This window comes from Homo sapiens, chromosome 5, assembly GCF_000001405.40.
Source record: "Homo sapiens chromosome 5, GRCh38.p14 Primary Assembly".
NCBI lineage: Eukaryota > Metazoa > Chordata > Mammalia > Primates > Hominidae > Homo > Homo sapiens.
The window spans coordinates 59,798,791-59,819,348 of record NC_000005.10 but is presented as its reverse complement, the minus strand read 5'-3'; the positions used below and the strand labels follow the sequence as shown (position 1 = coordinate 59,819,348).

The 20,558-nt window shown below is 40.6% G+C and overlaps 1 protein-coding gene across 17 annotated transcripts in view, besides 1 other annotated feature; it reads left to right on the top strand.

Annotated features, from left to right (window-relative positions):
* The window catches only part of PDE4D (phosphodiesterase 4D), a 1,553,091-nt gene that overhangs the window by 702,780 nt on the left and 829,753 nt on the right, over positions 1 to 20,558 (top strand). The window lies entirely within an intron of this gene.
* Positions 18,341 to 18,871: an enhancer, noted in NCBI's record as "NANOG hESC enhancer chr5:59096304-59096834 (GRCh37/hg19 assembly coordinates)". NCBI's record gives its function as "activates a minimal SCP1, AML or CMV promoter by ChIP-STARR-seq in naive H9 embryonic stem cells {active_cell/tissue: H9 hESC(naive)}" and the evidence as "EXISTENCE:reporter gene assay evidence [ECO:0000049][PMID:30033119]".

Sequence of the window (20,558 nt, the reverse complement as noted above, 5' to 3'; positions counted from 1 at the left end):
GCTGCCAGATAACTGCTAGATAAGCAGCTATTGACCATTTATGAACTCAGTTTTACCAGGCGTTGAGAAGGCGAGAATACTCAAAATAAAACCTGCATAGATTCCACCCTTAGGAAACTTACAGTCTGGCAGATTCAAAACAATTTCACTTCACTTTAAGTAATTGTAAAATTGCCTCCATAAAAGCATAGCCTGGATGAAAACATTTTTCAATATTATTTACTCATTTTAATGCACTCAAATAAACTTTATACCAAGTAACTTCTTTAAAGATCTACCAATATAAGGCACGTATAGATCAAAGTAGACAATGTCAGCCCATATAATCCCCTTCTCCAGGTCCATTTTGATTGCTTGTGTCAACATTGGGGACCACAGTAAATTACTAATGGTCCTTAAAATTCCCCCCCTATTTATCTCTTTCTTTTCAATTTTTCTCCTTCACTCCTGCTACTCTATTTCTTGTGTTTTTTTTTTTATCTACTTTTTTTTTTTGCTCTTCCCCAGGGAAACTAGAGGAAAATTCTTCATCCTGATAAGAGTTTTTGGCACCAGAAAGGATATTTTACCTGTAGTCTGACCTACATGGAGTGAGGGAGCCTGAACATGTTTCCATGAGTGTTCTAGTTCAATGGGCAGAAAGATCCATCAGGAGAAAGCCTTTGTCACTGATGGCTTTGAAATTGTTCAAATGACTTTGCAGTTCACAACACGTGAGCTTAATCATTGGTTTGGCTCTTCTGAGGAGCTGAGGGAGACAAAGAAGCAAAGTTATTTTCCCAGAGGTAGTGAGGCCCAAGATGCTCAGAAAAGATTTAATTGAAAGATGCCATTGCTGAAATTTCTTTTATAATGTTCTGCCTGTGGCTTTCCAATAGTAATAGTAGTAGCAGTTGTTGTAATAATAGAGATAGTAGTTGTATTGATAGCAATAATAATAGCTACTATTTATTGAGCACTGACTGTGTTTCAGGCATGGGTCCATGCACTTTACATATATTAACTCATTTAAACCTCCCAACAACCTAACAAGGTAAAGATGATTATTATCCCATTTCACAACTGAGCAAACTGGGACATGAGATTTAAGGAACGTGCCCAAGCTCACACAGCTAGGCGATCACCAATTATACATTTCCTCTCTGCAAGAGAACAGTCTATTTTTCAAAAACATGCTGATAAAACAGCAATCCCATTTGCTTCTAAGGACAAACCCTGCCATGCCTGAGTGTTGCCATTCTTAAACTCCAGGCCAGGGCTTGCCTTTGGATACATGTGAGCTTCACTGGGCTCTCTGCTCAATGTCCCTCCTCAGAGTGTCTCCCTAACCACCTCTCTTGATCTCTCTCCACCCCTTTATTCCACTTGGGTTTTCTTCAGCACACTTAGGGCTACCTGACAGTGTTAGCAAGGCTACAAAGCAAAACACCAGATGGGGTGGCTTAAATAACAATCATTTATTTTCTCACAGTTCTGGAGGCTGGAAGCTTGAGATCAGTGTGCCAGCTTGGTTCAGTGCTGGTTATGGGTCTCTTCTTGGCCTGCAGACACAGACACCTTTTCACTATGTCCTCACATGGCCTTTCTGTGTGTGTGTGGGGGGGGGTGTGGGTGTGTGCGCGCGCGCGCGTGCCTGCATGCCTGTGTAGGGAGAAAGAGAAAGCTCTTTGCCTCTTCTTATAAGGTCAGATTAGGACCCTACCCTTATGACCACATTTAAACTTATTTACTGACTAAAAGCCCTATCTTCAGATATAGTGACATTGAGAGTTCAACATATGAACATATGAGCTGATAGGAATATATGAATTGATGGGAACATATCAACACTTCAACATATGAATTGGGGTGAGGGACGCAATACAGTCCATAGTGGTGACCCAGCATATATTTAATAGGTCATTAATGTGTTTACTATGTGTCTTTCCCACTCCTCCCGGTATTAGTAATCTAAATACCAGTAAGGATTTGAGGTTCTTCTTTGTTGTATTCCTAATACCTAAGACACTGTCCCACACATGGTAGATGTTCAATACATATTTGTTGGATAAATAAAAAATACAGAGCTCCCTCTTCTCCCCTACATGTTGGAAAATGTGTGTGATCTAAATGAGGGAGAGGGAGAACCATCTCATCTAATCTTCCAAACTTCCTGAGCCACCTTTAGCTACTGAGCACATTCACGTTTCCGTCAGCTGGGAATTTAGGTGCCCTGCCTATCATCCTCTGGAGCCCATCCCAGGAGGGGGCAGAAGGAGGTGGAGCAGCACACTAGTGTTCCCAGAGTGGGGAGAGCAGATGGAGAGGAGTTCATGGGAACGATGATTTACCCCTGCTCACTTACCCCTGTGAGAGGACACTGCCCTCCACGAATCAATGCTGGCTCCTCCTCCAGGAACCAGGCTTCTGCATCTCACTTGCCATGCTGTGGATCTAGGAACAAATTTGCATTTGGAAATTCATTTTAAAGTGTGCATGCTGAGGTTCTGGTGACATGCAGGGTAACTTCTCCCACCCACGATATCTCTTGACTCAGGCCTTCATGTAGGAGGGGAGGAGTGTTTGGCAGCAAAACTGGGTATTTCTTAGGAAGGAAATCCTTCTAAGCTTTATGGAAATCCTAGGGTGTTGTCCCTACCTTTCTGAGTGTGGAGCAGACTATCTGTGTACATAGCGGTAGTGAGGGGTGTAATATTGGAGAATGGCTTAGGTAACAGCCAAAATATACATTGTATATCCCCAAAAAGACGACCAAAGACTCACAGGCCATGCTGCTATCATTAGATATAATAGGCATAGCCTTTCATTGATATGTAAATGTTAGTATTTTTGGTAAGTGCCTTATTTTATCTTCTGGATAATATAAGATACAAGTACCATGAGGGCAGGATCCTTCTCTCATTCATTTTTTTTCCCAAGAGCATAGCACAAAGTAGGAAGTACTTGTTGAGCGAATGAATGATCCTAAATATGAAAGGATGGCATTTTATCGCCATTTTCCAGATGAGAAAAAAACGAGGGAGCTTATCAGGTTTATATATAGTGAGTGACAAACTTCAGAATTAAACCAAAATCTAGTAATTCCTATAACTTACAGGTTATTAAGGAGTCCACCTGAATGTAAGTCCAACAAGACAGGTGTTTATTTTGTTTACATACATTCCAAGTACCTAAGACAATGCCTAACATATATAAAATACTTCATAAACATCTTCATGTGTGAATAGAATTTTCAAAGTTCATCTCAATATATGCCTCATGTGACACTTCCAACCCTTCACTGCCAGGTCTTTCAGTCTTTATTTGAATAGGTTCAGTAAGAAAGAATTCACTCGTGCTTTAGATATGTATGGCTTTTCCACATTGTTGTCAGTTCTAAATCCCGAAAGTTATTTTTGTATGCTTGGAATACTTCACAATATTCACAATTTTTACAATAAAATAATTTCAGGTCTTCTTGATGAAAAATGTCGATCAGGACAGGGCTGAGGATAATCACAAGGCTTGAAATTAAAGAAGTCTCCTTAGGCTGAAATGAATTTCTAGTTGTAAAACCAAATATGAATCTATGTATTTGTGTTCCTCAGACCACTTTTCCAGCAGGTCCTTGGCTGTATTTTGTATGCATTTGTGAAATGCTTTGTTGAAATTCAGTTTCAGCCAGGTCTGTAGCATTCTCCTGGCCCCTGGTCTGATAGTTGTACCAGGAACACTAGCTAACAATTGCATGGCACTAGTCTCAGCTGGATTTGTTCTAACTCTTTTATATGTATTAACTCAATCCCTACAACCACCCCATTTCATTACTATGCCCACTTGAGAACTAAAAACACTGAGGAAGAGCGAAGTTAAGTAACTTGCAGAGGTCTCAGAGCTAGGAAGTAAGACAGCCAACTCGGAACCCAGCAGACTAGCTCTGGAGCCTACCCACCTACCCTCCACACCGTACCTGTGGTCCATCCTCACCAACCAGGCCTGCTGCCCTGAGCATAACTTCACCCTCTTGCGTTCTAAAACTATCTGCTGATTAAGTGAGTTCTGAAATGTTTTCAGGGACCAATACTAAAATCAACTATGAAATAGTTTCAGAGATTGACCTTTCCTCCTTTTGGAATGGATAAGATTTTCCCAACCGAGGTCTCCCATCAGCTCTCCTGTTCCCCTGGACTGTGGCACATAGGAGGGCCAGGGACTTGCGCCTATTATTTCATTTCTTTTGTTATCCTTCATTTCTAGATCTCTTCTCTACCACAATTATCTCTCATGTTGACAGTTTCCCCACAGATGGGATGTCTATTTCCTTGATAATACAGCATTATTATGCTAAAATCTCTCATTTGTGTTATTAGCCAGACTCTGTGCAAAAACGTGTGTATATCTGAGACTCTGTGCTGTTCTTAGCCACCTTCTTGGTCCCTTCTCATGTAAATTACTAGGGCACTTCTTCAATATTATTATTATCATGCCCCCTTACCACCACCACAAAATCTTCCATCATAACCCATTTTTTTTTCCTCCTCCTTACCACATTTTCAGCTTTGAACTCTTATAATCAGATCAGGAATTACATTTCTGAACAAATGCAGGCTTTGCAGCATTGTGAAGTGCAGCTGGTCCCCAGCAGAGAGCCCTAAGCCCCTGCCTGAAGCCAAACCCCCTTTTGTGGCGAGAGGTCTGGATTTTATTTGTTGTTTTTATCTTTGGTGAACTGTCAACTGGAAGCAGAGATGCGAACACCAGTTATGTCCTCCCCTGCAAGGTTCATGACCAATACTTTATAGTTTCTGGATATGCTTCCTAGGTTTCTTCTGTTGGTGTCATTTGCCTGCATGTGACTCACTGGCAGGTGGTGATTTCATCATATTCTAGACATGTGTCTTAGGAAGCTGGCCCCTATCCTGGCTGGCTGGACACATATCGAAGTTCCTTAGATCTACCATTGTCACTTTCATATCCATTGTTAAATACTATAGATAGCATGCAGGGGTCAGCCAAATTGTTCTGTAAAAGGCTCAAGCATAAATATTTTAAGTTTTGTGGGACAGACAGTCTCTGTCGCAACTACTTGACTGATGCAGCATGCAAGCAGCCACAGACAATAAGTAAACAAATGGGAATGGTTGTGTCCCAATAAAGCTTTATTTATAAAAACTGTCTTTTTTTATAAATAAAGGAGCCCATCGTTTGCCGCCCCCTAGTGCCAGGAAGGAACAAGGGGAAAATAAGGAAGAGACCCAGAGGAAAAAAAGTGTCACCAACCATATCTCTAACTCATATTTATTTACTTATTTTTCTAAGCGCAATCGCTAAATTATCTCGTCTTCCTAAGGCGTATGAATCTCTTACATTAACTTAGGGACAGAATATAGAGTTTTATGTTATCTTCTGTGAGTTCTTTTTCCATTCTGTCATGTTTCAGACTTTCAGAGGTAATTTTTAAGTATTTCAGCTGTGCCTTAGATACATTAAGGGACCTATAGTGCCTCCCTGAGGCCAAGATGATGGTTGCAATCATAAATAGGTTATTTCTGAGTTGAGACTGGTAAGAACAGATTATCCTGCCCAGACAGTGATGTGCCAAGCATTGGCAACTTTGAAAAATTTGCAATTTGATTTTATAGGAGAGTTTCCTTAACAGGCCTGAGTTTTTTTCCCATTGCTTTTGTGAATACAGTATTTTCCCCTGCTAGACTCTTAGTCAAATGTTCTTGCCATTATAAGAAAAAAGGAAAACTGAAAAACTTGAAAATAATTTTATTGGCTTAGGAATTATTTTCATGTTTGTCTGCTAATGGCAAATAAATCTACCTTATTGAATCATACGGATTTTAATTCCCCGGGGGAAAGGTAACCAATGACAGGCATATGTGTGTGTGTGTGTGTGTGTGTGTGTGTGTGTGTGTACAAGTGTATGCTTGTGAAAATTGAACAGCAAAAAGAAATTAGGTGGAGAGGAAAACATTAAAGCTGGTACTGGTGGGTAATCATTATATATAGTATATATACACATATGCCTTCTCCAGTTTTATGGAGGCAGTCAGTGCCTCAAAGACGTGTAATAAAGAGACAGCAACAATTATTGGTGGCATTCATGTAGGAGAGGCTTGAGCCAATGTAAACTTGACTTGGTTAGTAATCTTTGCCAAAACTCCCTGATTGTTGTAAGGGAGTTGTGAACCATTAGGTTTGCTTAACCAGAACAGCAAGTAAGCATCCAAACAGATTGTCCTTGGACCATAAGCAAATGCCCAGAAAATAGCCCCCTGCATAGGATATTAAGTACTTAGAAACAAATGAGAAAAAATATTACAGCAAGTCTTCCAGGTATAGAAGGGATAAACAACCCTATTGGTATCAGAATTTAGGAATATTATTATGTCTCCCACTTTAAATGAAATACAGCAGCCTGACTTGGCAAAATTTGGGGAACGGTTCCCCTTCTTTGCAGCCAGGTTCGGTGCTTGCCCTCTGGCATCCCTTCAATTGTGTATATTACTGGCAGAGACAGCTGTTTGAGCTGCTAATAAGATTGCAAAATAATATCAGCTTGTGCTTCAGGTTGAAGATAAGAGATAACATTGCATTGGCTGTAGGAATGGCTTTCTTATAAACTGGATTTAGTTTTATCTCACTTGTCTCACTTGTTACTTTTTTATTTATTTACTTTTTTTTTTTTGAGATGGAGTCTCACTTTGTCACCTGGGCTGGAGTACAGTGACACGATCTTGGCTCACTGCAACGTCCGCCTCCCAGGTTCAAGCCATTCTCCTGCCTCAGCCTCCCAAGTAGCTGGGATTACAGGCATGCGCCACCACGCCTGGCTAATTTCTGTATTTTTAGTAGAGACAGGGTTTCACCATGTTGGCCAGGCTGGTCTCAAACTCCTGACCTCAGGTGATCCGTCTGCCTCGGCCTCCCAAAGTGCTGGGATTTCAGATTACAGGTGCCATGACGCCTGGCCCCACTTGATACATTTGAGGGTCTCATAAGGTCTTGAAATTGAGCCTGTGAATTTATAAACAGGGCTACAACCATCCTGCAGATGCAACTTTTTGGCATGCCAGAATCAGTGGCACCTGAAGAGCATCTCCTTGAAAGCGGTAGTAGATAAAAGGAGATGCCTTTCAGGTTTCAGACGTGGACCTCAGATTCACCTCCAAGACTAGAGTTATCACAGTGCACAGGATCATCCAAGAACAGACATGCAGAGGGAGGAAAGGCCATTGTAAGGCTCAGGAGAACATAGTAGAGCCTAAAAATGAGAACAAAATGGTACTATCAGAAAAGATGGCAGTGGTTGGGACATAAGAGAGGGTAGGTTCACAGGTTTGTGGGACCAGGACTCAGTCACTTTCCTCGCGCTAGGCTCAACCCTCACGATGGGGAAAGTAATGTACTTCTGGGCTTAAAATTCTTCACAGTCAACTGGTAGAGATATGAGGGAATTTATTGCTAAGTAGTAGGGAAAGTGTTTTCACAAATAACATACAGGAAATTCCCATATCATACAAAGGAGGTTGTATTATCACCACGTTTTTACATATGAGAAAATAGAGTCTTAGAAAAGTTATGTACCTTGCCTAGGAGCATGTGCCTAGATAGTGGCAGCTCCAAGATTCAAACCTAAAACTCCAGAGTCTGAAACTCACACAGTTTCTTCTCTGTTCTGAGGCTTCATGCAGCTGGACAGGAGGTTAGCCTGAGACAAGAGGAGGATCATTCTCGAAGGCAGAGAGGCTGGGGACATGACTGCTTTCTGGAAACCTGAGCTCATGGAGAGAGGCTGAGAGTCAGGAAAGTAGGACATGAAATCATTTAATGAGAGTGAAGACCAGCCAGGTCAGGGAGTTTGAAAAGAGAGTTTTGAAATATCCATTGTAGCTAATATGGGAGAGCATTCTTTGAGAGTGATTAAAATGGCGACTGAGGACACAGCTAAAGTGAGAAAGAATAAATCTGTGGCAGACTTGCATATTTTTGGTATGTGCATCTCTTTCCGAAATCAATTGAACAGAGGTGGGAAAAGTAGCTTGGTGGATAATGAGGTAGAGTGGAAAGTTGAAAAGACAGAGCTTAGGAGTCTTTCTGATTGGTCTAAAATTCCCCAGGGAAAATCATGTTTCTTTTTATGAATATAGTCCAGGTCTTAGGTCTGTCCCACGGCACAAAGTTTTCAGGACATTCTGGACAAATTCACACATTTCCCTGGATGTCAGTCAATTCCCTTTGCCTCTGTGCTATCACTTTCCTTCTCTCTGCTTTCTCCTTGAGTTACCTGTCCCAGCTCTTCACTCCACATTCTGCAGCCTCCGTTTAGCTCCTTTATACCTTTGTCCAGATTCTTCCTAACTTATTATACTGCCTCCTCATGTCAACTTCCATCCCATCTGCATTTGGGAAAAGAAGCCCACATGATAAGTGAGTCCATCTGCTAAATGTATGCATCTTAGAGCATTTGTTCAAGATCAATAAAGATACAAATTATTTTGATTTTTCAGCTGTTGCCCAAATCCACAAGAGTACACAAATGAAAATGCACTGATTTTTAAAAAGTACAAATAGCCATTAAAGTTTGTATTGTTTTATTCTTTAAATAAGCCGGAAAAATGGGAATACGTAGGAACGAGGGAGCTAGCAAAATAGGCGGGGCTTCTGCGTTTCAGGTGGTCTGAGACTGCAGTGACCCTGAGGCTGGTGGACCTGGAAGGAGCCAGGGAGAGATGGTGGATCCCAGGGGTGGGAGCAAATGCATGGTCCAAGGTTCTGAATGGCAGAGCTAGACCAAAGGACTAACCTGCTAACCTTGACCAAGGAGATGGCCCAGAGGTTTTCTATTTCTACTGCTCCATCTTTTCATTATAAGTTCCCAGTAGAAACGAGTCATCATTTAAAATATCGGTGCAGCACTTAACACATAAGGAAAAATCAATAACATTCATTTACTTACAGTACCCAGAGAAGAAATAAATTCAAATACGTAAAAATGGGCATGAACCATCCTGTTCCATATCCCACTTTAGGACTGTCAGCAACTGTATACATTGCTGAACGTCATTGCTCTTGTACATAATGAATAATTTTCTGTAACCCTGTGAAGGCCGACTGATTTTTACGGAAAGACAGCTTTGTGTTAGGCGGCCCGCCTTCCCCACGGAATCGGGTTTTCCCACGCCACGTTTTGATGTTTCTGAGAAGTGTGCGCCATCTGCTGGCCGCTGAGAGGATTGACGAGCAGCCATAAGGAGCACCGTGTTTCTTGAGCATGACTTAACCAGGCAATGGAATTACAATTATCTTTGGGTTTCTAAAACATAATAGACATTTCAGGATTCACGTGACTTATGAGAAGTCGCTTAATTGCCTTTCAAGCAGTATACATTTTTTATTCAATATGTGTATTATTCTTTGTAATAATAAACGATGCAATAAAGCAATCGAGGGGTTCCCACATGCTCTCTAGGCAGAGATGGACCCCGGGCCCTAGATGAAAGGTTAATAGTTTGGAGTGAGCACTAACTCTGGTCCTCTGACTCTGAATCTAAGTCAGGAGTAGAATAGAGCTGTACAAAGAAGACTGCTTGATGGAATTGAATTTTGTCCCTTCTTCAATGGGGGAAAATAAAGTACAGTTTTCATCAATAGATTAATGACTAAACTTGGACCTTGATGCCAAATCCAACTTGAGCTCCGCCTGCACAGTCTGGAGATGTACATAAGAGACACATGCTCAGCCTCTTAGCACATCGTTATAATCCAGGCAGGCAATACTATATCCTAAAATTACTCCTCTTTGCTGAAATTGAGAAAATAGGAATTACCCAGGGTAAATTTGGTACATAAATGTACCAAATGGTATGATTTATTCTAGTACTGTCTTCTTTTTCTTGATTTTCTTCTTTATTGGGAAATTTGTATTTTGTAGTTCCTTCGACACTTTAAAAATTAAACTAGAGGGTAAGATTTAAGTTTTCTCACAACTAACAAATGATTTTGATTTTATTGCCCAAAGCCCTTTATATCTCACTTTCGATGGGTCTAGTCCCTTTGGCTTAATTTAGATGTGATTTTTCCTTAATAATTTTGAAAATGGTGGTGCTCTATACCAACTAGCTAGAATAGGAATCACATTGACAGTATTTAATGGATAGAAGCATCTCAAAGATCTTTGCTTAATGAGGGCAAATCATTAGCAATGTCCAACTCCCTATGTTAGAGGCGCCAACTAAGGCACGGTACTTAAATTTAAAGCACAACTCTTCGACTTCCATAAAGTACATATATTACATTATATTTTTAAATTACGGGGTAGTGACTCGATATGTCACTGGAATGTTTTGAATAGTGCCCCCGGCCCCCCTGCCAAAAAAAAGAATGCAAGAACACTGTCCTAACCAAGAAGGCCTGGGAGTTTTAACTAATTCAGCCTTTCAGCCTCCACTTAAAATTCTGGAAGACAGTAGTGTTGGTGCTAGCTGTCCTTGGCTGCAAGTTGTCTTTACAGAAGAACTTGGGGTACATTTTGGTGTGAGGCCACTCTTGCAAGCAGCATTTGCAGGCATTAAGAGAATGCACACAGTTCAATAAGCTGGGGTTATATTCATAATCAGTCTTTGTTTAATGCTGTAAAAATACTAAAGGAATGGCCAAAATCTCTCGGTATCTGGGGAAAAGGGTTCTTTGAAACTTTTGATGTGTGAGCAGAATAATGGAAACTTATCTGTTCCCCATGCTTTTAACACACACACAAACACACACACACACACACAAACGTCATAGATCAAGATGTAACAGGTTGGAATGGGGCCTAGGCTTGGGAATTTTGTGACTCCCCAGGTGATCTCAATGTACTGCTGGTTTATTAGCAGGCTTTGCCCAAACAAATACTCTTTCTCACCTACCAGGAGAAATCAAAGAGCTCTGGGTTAAACACTTGTATGTTAAAACCAAAATGGTGGGCATTGCAGAGTAGAGGAATTAGGAGAAGAAAATAGATATTGGGTCAAAAATTGGCCTCAGGAACCAGGAAGTAAGAATGGCCAATCTTAAAAGAGAAAGTTCTGTTGAAGAGGGAGCATTATCTGAAGTTGGAATGACTATGGAGGACAATGACAGCTGTCCCACAGGATGTCACTGGGCTGAGGAAAATCAGACTGGAAGCCACAAGCCCATGGGGGCTCAGGAAGCCTGTTTCCTGAGCAGAACAGAGCTGGGTTTGGCACATGCCTAGTGTTCCAGTGAAATCTGTCATTTTTCTGCTTCCACTTTTTACAAATGAGTTATTCAACGCTACTTTGTTGACACATGGACTCAGCATTTAAAAAATGACAGTGGAGATAAGGGTCTAAGGTAGTGATAGGCAAATGAATGATGGGCATCCATCATCTGAAGAGCTTCTTAAAATTCAGATTTCCCAACCCCACCACAGACGTCTGTCTCCGTAGGTCTTGGGTAGGGCTCAGAGCAGGCTGCTTCTGAAATTTTGAGGTTGTGAGGTAAGAATACAGGTGGGAGCCTGCATACCACTTGTCTAAATATTTAAAAGTTGTAAATCAGCCTAATGAACTGTGAAGGAAGCTCTGGCCTACTTCCTTGACAACTTAAGCCTATACAGAGACCTGGAAGATCAAGTTCAAATGCAGAACCTGAATGTTTCGGTTCTATCTGCTCCCTCAGTGTTAAAGGTCTGTCCTTTTTCCTTGACAAATATGCTTTCATAATTGTCTGGAAGGCCGGATTCCAATTCAGCAATTCCAATCCCTCAGTGTTGAGGGAAAGGGCCACCCGCTCTGCTCTTCTCTTCCCATCTGGCTCTGTCTGGAACCACGAAGCACCTCTGTGTGTGTGTGGGGACAAGCCAGCCCAGGTGCCTGCGTTTTGGCCCAGTACCTCCTACCCTCATACTACATATGTAGCCACCCCCAGGCATAGGGTTGTGCACACTGGTGACATGTCTGCCCTCTAGAAGAAGCATGGGGGAAATGGGACCCCACAGGCCCTGTTAGCTGATACGGGCCATGAGCTCCCAGGTCACGGTCTAAAAGTACATTGGTTTGGGGCTCTGCGTGACCATATTCCAAGGATCCTGCAAAGGAAGAGGCAGGACTGGAGAAGGGAAAGAGTGGGCCTTCTAAGGCTCCCAGGGCAGGACCTCTTTTTGTCTGGTCTAAGAGGGGTATTGAACCCAAGTGGCTTAGATGCTGAATCCCTGGGCTTAGAACCCAATGCCCTGGAGCATTGATCTCACAGTGCTGGCCAGAAAGGGGCTCGTTGGTTGCTACTAGGTCATTATCACTCCCAGGGCACCTGGGCAGTCAATGAAACTGAGCTCAGAAAAGTCCTGCCTTTATGATGTCCCTTCCACTTCCATAACTTTCTCCATAAAATAAAACCAAGAAAAATAATTTTTCTCTTGATTTCAAATCGTATTTAAAGGAAAATAGAAATTTTATTTTTAAAGAAATTGCATGTTTTCATTGTCTATATATTGTTTTGAAATATGTACACGTTGTGTAATGGCTAAATTGAGCTAATTAAATGTATAACCTCACATGCTTATCATTTTTGTGGTGAAAACACTTAAAATCCACTCTCTTAACAATTTTCAAAAATATTTGAAAAAATATAGTTATTAACTGTAGTCCTGTAACTATTTCCTATTAATTATAGGGAAGTAGAAATTTTAATAGTCATCTTTCTCATGCTTTTCTTGACTTTTAGATTCAAGAAATAATAAACTTGAATAAAAGAGATTAATTTCACAGTAATGCAATATTTCTGTAAAATTTCACACCTTGTTGACTGTCAATCAGCTGAGAACTTTACACCTCATTAAAAATCCATTAGAACAATGGCTGTTCCATTAGCCCTTCAGTTTATGCCTTAAAACATACTTGTCTAAAAACAACATTGTTTTTGGCAGGCTGCTCCTTTTGATAAGTGGGGACTTGCTCTGGTATTAACTGTTTCCAGGTCTCCAGAAAAAGGCTCAGGGTATGTCTAGGGACATCAGTGACAACAGTGAGGTAGAGCAAGTCAATACTGTGCCACCTCTGCGCTAGCCAGAGAACCTCTGCTCCAAGGTGAGTTGGTTCCCCCTTTCATTAAGGTCCTCAGGCCCCAGTAAAATCCAGATATGGCTTTGGAGAGGAACGCTGTCTGAGTGAAGCTCCCTCAGTTTCATAACCAGCTTAGAGCTTCTCAGCTCTGACCTGCCTGTTAGCATGGCTGGGGAGCCCAGTGGTTTATTGAACTGGCTAATAACAAAGATTCTGAGATAACGAAACAGAAAACAGGTAGGTTTTGATGAAAAGGAAGGAGATAAGGAGGATAAGAGGGGTAGTAGGGAGGAATAGTGGGAGAGGGGCAAAGAAGCATTAAATCAAGATTTGGAGAATGGCTGGAAACAGTGGCAGAGACTCAATAGGAGAGTGACCCTGACAGACGGGGAGGTGGCAAAAGTGCTTGCAGGCACAGGCCACCCAACAGTTATTTCGGGGACTGTTCACAATCTCATCTACTTCACAGTTTTGCCTTGTCCTAACTCAGGTCTTATTAGAGCCAGAATAAATTGCCTTGCATCGTCAGAAACTGACCATTCATTCCTGTGGTCTTCTTTGAGATTTTTAGAATCCCAAGGACTAAATATCCCTATCCACTTGCCTTTGTTCACTGTATTGGATGATGTGCCATTGCCTGTCTCCAGCATTCACTGAGAGCAGTACCCCAACATCCAACACATCTTTAAATGCCAAAGGGAAGTGAAAATGTCCTGACTTCTTAAACTCTAACATAGCATTCATCCTATTCTTATATTTTTTGAACTTTGCATCAAAACATACATAAATGCAGGTGCACAAATTGTAAGTGTAAAAGTCAATGAATTTTCACTAAGTGAACACACTTGGCTCACCAGAAGCTAAAGAAAGGGTGAACTAGAAGGGGACTTTGTAGATTACACTTCCTGACACCATCATTATTTAAGAAAGAACTGTTTCCTAGGTATATTTTAGGACCTTTTATCTGGTGATATCTATCTACTAACTTTAGGGGTGGGGTGGAATTGATTCTTTTTACAAGATTAGTGAAGCTAGAAACAACTAGCTTTTAATTCATTAAATGTAACCTACTTTCAAGTAGCTTCATGTGACTGAAATCAATCTGTTTTATTTTCCAAACCAGTGGAATACACACAGGGTCATTACATACATTTTGAAAGTCTTCTGTTTCAAATGTATTGTAGATTAAGAAACAGAATGTGGCAGGGCACGGTGGCTCATGCCTGTAATCTCAGCACTTTGGGAGACCGAGGCGGGTGGATCACTTGAGGTCAGGAATTTGAGATCAGCCTGGCCAACATGGTGAAACCCCGTCTCTACTAAAAATACAAAAAATTAGCCAGGCATGGTGGTGTGCGCCTGTAGTCCCAGCTACTTGGGAAGCTGAGGTGGGAGAATCGCTTGAACCTGGGAGGCAGAGGTTGCAGTGAGCTGAGATCATGTCATTGCACTCCAGCCTGGGTGACAGAGCGAGATTTTGTCTCAAAAGAAAAAACAAAAAATAGAAAAAGAAACAACGCTATTGGCACACCCAGAATAATCACTATTGGACTTCTGATACCAAAAACAAGGGGGATTTCCTCGTTTTTAAGTTTTATGAAATGAAGTAATATTCTGTATACTCTTCCGAGTTTAGCTTCTTTGAGTAGGTTTGTGAGATTTATCCAAGTGTGGAATGGAGTTATAATTTATTCATTTTTGGTTTTGGGTGATTGTATTTTTAAAATTAAGGTAAACATTAAAAGTTAGGGTTTAACCCACTACTGGGTATTCACCCAAAGGGAAAGAAGTCATTCTACGAGAAAGACCACATGCACAGGCCTGTCCAATTCACAGTTGCAAAAATAGGCAACCAAACTTGTTGCCCATCGACCAACGAGTGGATAAAGAAAATGTGGTATATATGCCCTATGGATTACTACTCAGTCATAAAAAGAAACCAAATAATGTCTCTGGCAGCAACTTGGCTGGAAGTGGAGGCCATTTATTCTAAGAGACGTAACTCAGGAATGGAAAACCAAATATCATGTTTTCACTTACAAGTGGGAGCTAAGCGCTGAGGATACAAAGGCATAAGAATGAATAATGGACTTTGGGGATGGGGGAGAGATTGGGAGAAGTTGAGAAATAAAAGACTACATATTGGGTACAGTGTACACTGCTCCGGTGATGGATGCACCAAAATATCAGAAATCACCACTAATGAATGTGTCCAAGTAAACAAAACCCACTGTACCCCAAAAACTATAGAAATAGAAAATGAATAAATAAAAGTTAGGGATTAAAAAGAAAGTGGGACATGGTCATTCCAGAAGTCTAAAATATTATAAGCTATATATAAAATACAAGTTTGTAACTATTTTTTGAGTACCTGCAATCAGCAAGTTTGCATTAATATTACTGTTTACTCCCTCACTTTTTAAAACAACTAATTTTCTATTTCCTATTTTAAGACCTTACCTAAGATTGCTGTCCTGTGGAATGGTTCCTAGCCCACGTGACCTTGTCTGTGTTGAAGCATGAGTGAATACATACTACCATCTACTTTAGTGAATGTTGATGATAAAATGGCCAATTTCATGTATTTGTTTATTTTCAAGAAAACCTTAGAGCACTCGTTCTCAAACTTTAGGATGCATCAGAATTACCTGGAGTGCCAGAATCCCCTGAAGTGGTTGTAAGAACTCATTGCTGGGGCCAGGTGCGGTGGCTCACACCTGTAATCCCAGCACTTTCGGAGGCCAAGGCAGGCGGATCACTTGAGGTCAGGAATTCGAGACCAGCCTGGCCACCATGGTGAAACCCCTTCTCTACTAAAAATACAAAGATTAGCTGTGCGTGATGGCGGGCACCTGTAATCCCAGCCACTTGGGAGGCTGAGGCAGGAGAATCGCTTGAACCCGGGGGGCGGAGGTTGCAGTGAGCCAAGATGGCGCCACTGCACTCCAGCCTGGGTGGCAGAGACAAATTGAAAAAAAAAAAAAAAAGGAGTTTCTAGGCCCCATCCCCAGAATTTTTGATTTTGTAGGTCTGCGGTGGGATCCAATTATGTACCGTCTAATGAGCTCCCAGGTGATAGTGACGCTGCAGACCTGGCTCCACATTCTGAGAACCACTGCCTTAGAGCCTGCACATCAAGTCACGTTTATATTCCTGTGCCGTACTCCCCTGGTGAGGATTCCTCTGGTCATTCATGCATTTACGTTTTTAAACTCCTTGGAATCAACCAGGTAGAGATTGTACTCTTGTTGTCGTATTTACCATCCTAAATCATTAGCATCTATTATCTTCCTCTGCCCTACACCACAACTCTGCTTGTAACCCATTTGGAGCGTGTTTTCTATGTTCTTGCTTTGTTTACATATTGGTGGCCCCAACTATTTATCAGCTTATTAAAGACATCAGGCCACTATTTGTCTATATCCCTGCACTGCCTAGCAGGGAGCACTGCAGGGACTATTGAATTCATGCACTGTATTCTCTGCTGGCCCATTGATTTCATCCTTATAGCCCCTGCTTCTCACCTGCATGTGTTTTTTTCACAATTTACATACTGATAAAATGAATTCTTGCTTCTTGCTCATGTAAGAATATGGAGGCTGGGCACAGTGGCTCACACCTGTGATCCCAACACTTTGGGAGGCCGAGGCAGGCAGATCATGAGGTCAGGAGATCGAGACCATCCTGGCTAACATGGTGAAACCCCCTCTCTACTAAAAATACAAAAATTAGCTGAGCGTGGTGGTTTGCACCTGTAATCCCAGCTATTTGGGAGGCTGAGGCAGGAGAATCGCTTGAACCTGGGAGGTAGAGGTTGCAGTGAGCTGAGATCACGCCACTGCACTTCAGCCTGGGCAACAGAGTGAGACTCTGTCTCAAAAAAAAAAAAAAAAAAAAGAATATGGAAGTTATAAAAATAATCTGTGATCATATAATGACTGTTTTCCCCAAAAAGGGCATTACTTTCCTGCTTCAAAGTATGTATTTCTTAACTAAAGTGTTTGTGGGATATGGCTGCGTGTTGGCATCACCTAGAGAACTTTAAAAAAAAAATGAAAACAAAAACAAAACAAAACAAAAAACTGATCTTCATGTCCCAGAGGTTCTCTTCTAATTGATGTGGGCTGTGATCTGGGCATAGAGATTGCCAAAATTACCCCGGTGATTCTAACACATAAAAATGTTTTAGAGTTTCTTAAGTACTTTTTTTCCTGATGAGTTTCAAGAGGGCCACTTTTTTTTTCTGGAAGATTATTTTCAGAAACACCTAGCCCTTCTTTATTTGTATCTCCTGTAGATGTTTTCCTTCTGAGTTTTTCTCTGTGAAACAAGAAAATATAATGAACTGTCATTTGCACGTTGCACAAAGCATGAACTTTATTTGGAGTCTTAGATAAACTTGTTCTGATCTAGAAATGAAAAATAATGAACTCTGCTGAGTTCTGCATTTCCTGTCTGAAGTTAGCTTTACCATAAGGATCTGGTGGGTAAGTGTTTGTTGTTCTTGTCATTAATTATTGGAACAGAGTTGTTTGGAGTAGATGATTCATTGTGGAACAAATCGTCTGATTTTGAGGGACATTTTCCATTATAAAATAATTATACATAAAAACAGAAGTATTGCTTTAATACTAAGATTTGTAACAATGCCATGTCATTCTGGTTGTAATGACTCTGTGTCTATTCCACTGGTTTGGAAAATAAAACAGATTGATTTCAGTCATATGAAGATACTTGAAAATAGGTTACATTTAATCAATTAGAAACTAGTTGTTTCTAACTTCACTAATCTTGTAAAAAGAATTAATTCCACCCCACTCCTAAAGTTAGTAGATAGATAGATATCACCAGATAAGTTCCTAAAATATACCTAGGAAATAGCTCTTTCTCAAATAATGATGGTGTCAGTAAGTCTAATGTAAGTCCATTTTATTTTACCCTTTCTTTAGGTTCTGCCCTTGTATCTTAGAATAATGAAATATGAAGTGAAATTTGGTGTCATGGTTTACCTGTAGCCATTTTATAATTTAGATTCATGGGTTTACATTACTTACTGAAACTACTGGGGAAACATTAACAACACAATAGGATTCCTAGATTGATAAACTTCAACACTCAAGCTATGACAGTTGTTCTCAGTCTCGTCTTTGATTCAATGTAAAAATTTGGACAAGTTAATTAGCTTTCTTTTGCTGCGTGTATAGGGGCAGGATAAACTTGAGAATTCCCACAATTATTCAACCCAGATCAAAGATATTTGTCTCAGGAAATCAACAATATTAAGAAAAATGGCTTTTTGAAAAAAAATTAAAAAAATGTTTAGCACCTTCAAATATCAGATTCACATCCTCATCATCCTCACTTAGAGATTTTAAAACTAATAGCAATTTTGTATGGCACATTTGCATTTACAATGCATTTTTGTACACATTCTATTTTCCCCTAAACCCAGGGAGACTGGAAGAGCAACAATTTACATATTTGCGTATTTTTAGAAAGTGAGTCTTAGAAAGGTTAAGTGACTAACCTAGGCTCAAACAGCCAGAAGTGTGTGGAACAAAGGCACCACACAGCTTTGCTGACTGTGAGCTCACTCTTTCTACTCCTCCAGCTATGCCAGCTATACAATAGCAACTTGTGAGAGGTGTTAGGTGTGAGGGATAGTAGGGGGGTAGGGGTGGGGAGGGGAAGAGGAAGCAAAGTCCTCATACTGATTGTATTTTTATCACTTTTCTAAAGGATTTTATGTTTTACAGCCTATTTGTCATTGGTGGAAATATCTCTACACTGGTGCTATAAACAGCAAAACATGCACTTGAGACTCCCTGCAAGCCCATCTAAGTTTTAAGGGTAATTGAGAATAGCAGCACTTGATACACATATCTTCATTTACTATATAGTGTGATCAATTATTTTCCCTGATACTAAGGGAAAATTAAACATCTTTTCATTGGTTGTTGCATTTCTTTCACGGTGTTTTTAATGCACTTTGCGAGCTTTTGTAGTTCTCAAAACTGGCCACTAGATGGTAGTGTTTAGTTAGTATTGTCGCACATGTTCCATTGTGGGAACTTTGATTCTAATAGGAAACATTTCATATATAATACTGCACTGAAACTGTTTCCCCAGTGGCTGAGGCACACGATAAAAACTCTGTGGCTTGAGCCTTCTTTTTCTTTTTTAATGACTAGACCTCCCTTCATTCAACACAGACCTTTCTTCCACATACTACTTATTCAGCAATTCATTTTTCTCCCCATAATAGTCTTTTTAAACACCCCACAGTGAGGGAGTGTTAAAAGTCCTGCCTTTCGTAGAATTTTGCTCTAAACTTCTGAGAGGTAAAGCAGATCTGGTGCCAAGATGATGTGTTCTAGGGAAGTACAAGGACAATAGACTTAAAGACCTGTGCTGCCAGCTTGTGAATAATTGAAGATTTGTATCTCGAAGTAAATTTCAGAGTACCCCTGTACTTCCTTGGGTATCTAAACCAAATAAGACAGAAGTTGTAGTTGCCTGGTATAGATACCACATTGCCAAAATTTTACAGTATTTTGGACAATCCAATAGATGTCTTCTCTCTGCTTTGTTTAAGCCTTCTAATTTCCCCAGCAAGACAAAGCAAAACAAAATTAATTCACACAGCCTGTTTGCATGATATGGTCCGATGGTTTACTATGCTATGTTTGTCATTAGTCACCCAAGCACAGAATCTAAAAGTCACTTATAACCATTTCCTGCCCCCCCATGACTGCTGATTCTTCCAAAACCATAAATCTCCTTTACTAATTCACTTGAATAACCAAACCTGCATTTCAGGTTCTCATTCTTTACACACCCAATAAAAAATGAGATGCCATCTGTTATTTTATTCATTAAGTCAAGTTCTGTTTCTCATGTTCTGCGGGAATTCTTCCCATGTGGTTTTACTGTTTGTTTCACTTTCTTCAATTTCCCTCATCATTACACATAAGCATTTATAAAATACCTCTTCATAAAATCCACTCCAGTCATTCTCTGCAGTTAACTCCAAGATCTCCAAGATCAAAACAGACCCCAAAGTTGTCAATGAAACTGTTCACTTGCACAGTGCAGGGGCTGGGGGTGTGGTTACTTGGGTGTGTGAATATGAACTTTCGGTTGTCTGAGGACAACAGGAAGCCTTGTTTCTGGTTGCTATCATATTAAACTTTAGTTAAGATTTTTATTGTTTATGAGATAGGGAATTTTTTCCCCTGGGGGTCAACTGGGGTCACCCTATTTCCTGAGGGCTAAATAAAATTGGCTGCAATCCCCATCGTACAGATTGTGAAAAGTTCTGCTTTCTCTCCAAAGCTTTTATGAATCCTTGATCACACCAGGCCCCACATCTCTGCTTCAGCCAAATTGGTTGCGTTTAGGAGTTCTCTCACAGTAGCTGTCATCATCTCTTTTTTCCATACCACAGAGGCTCAAGGTAGAACTGAGCCCCTTCCTTAGTTTTCCCAACCACCAGCCTTCCCT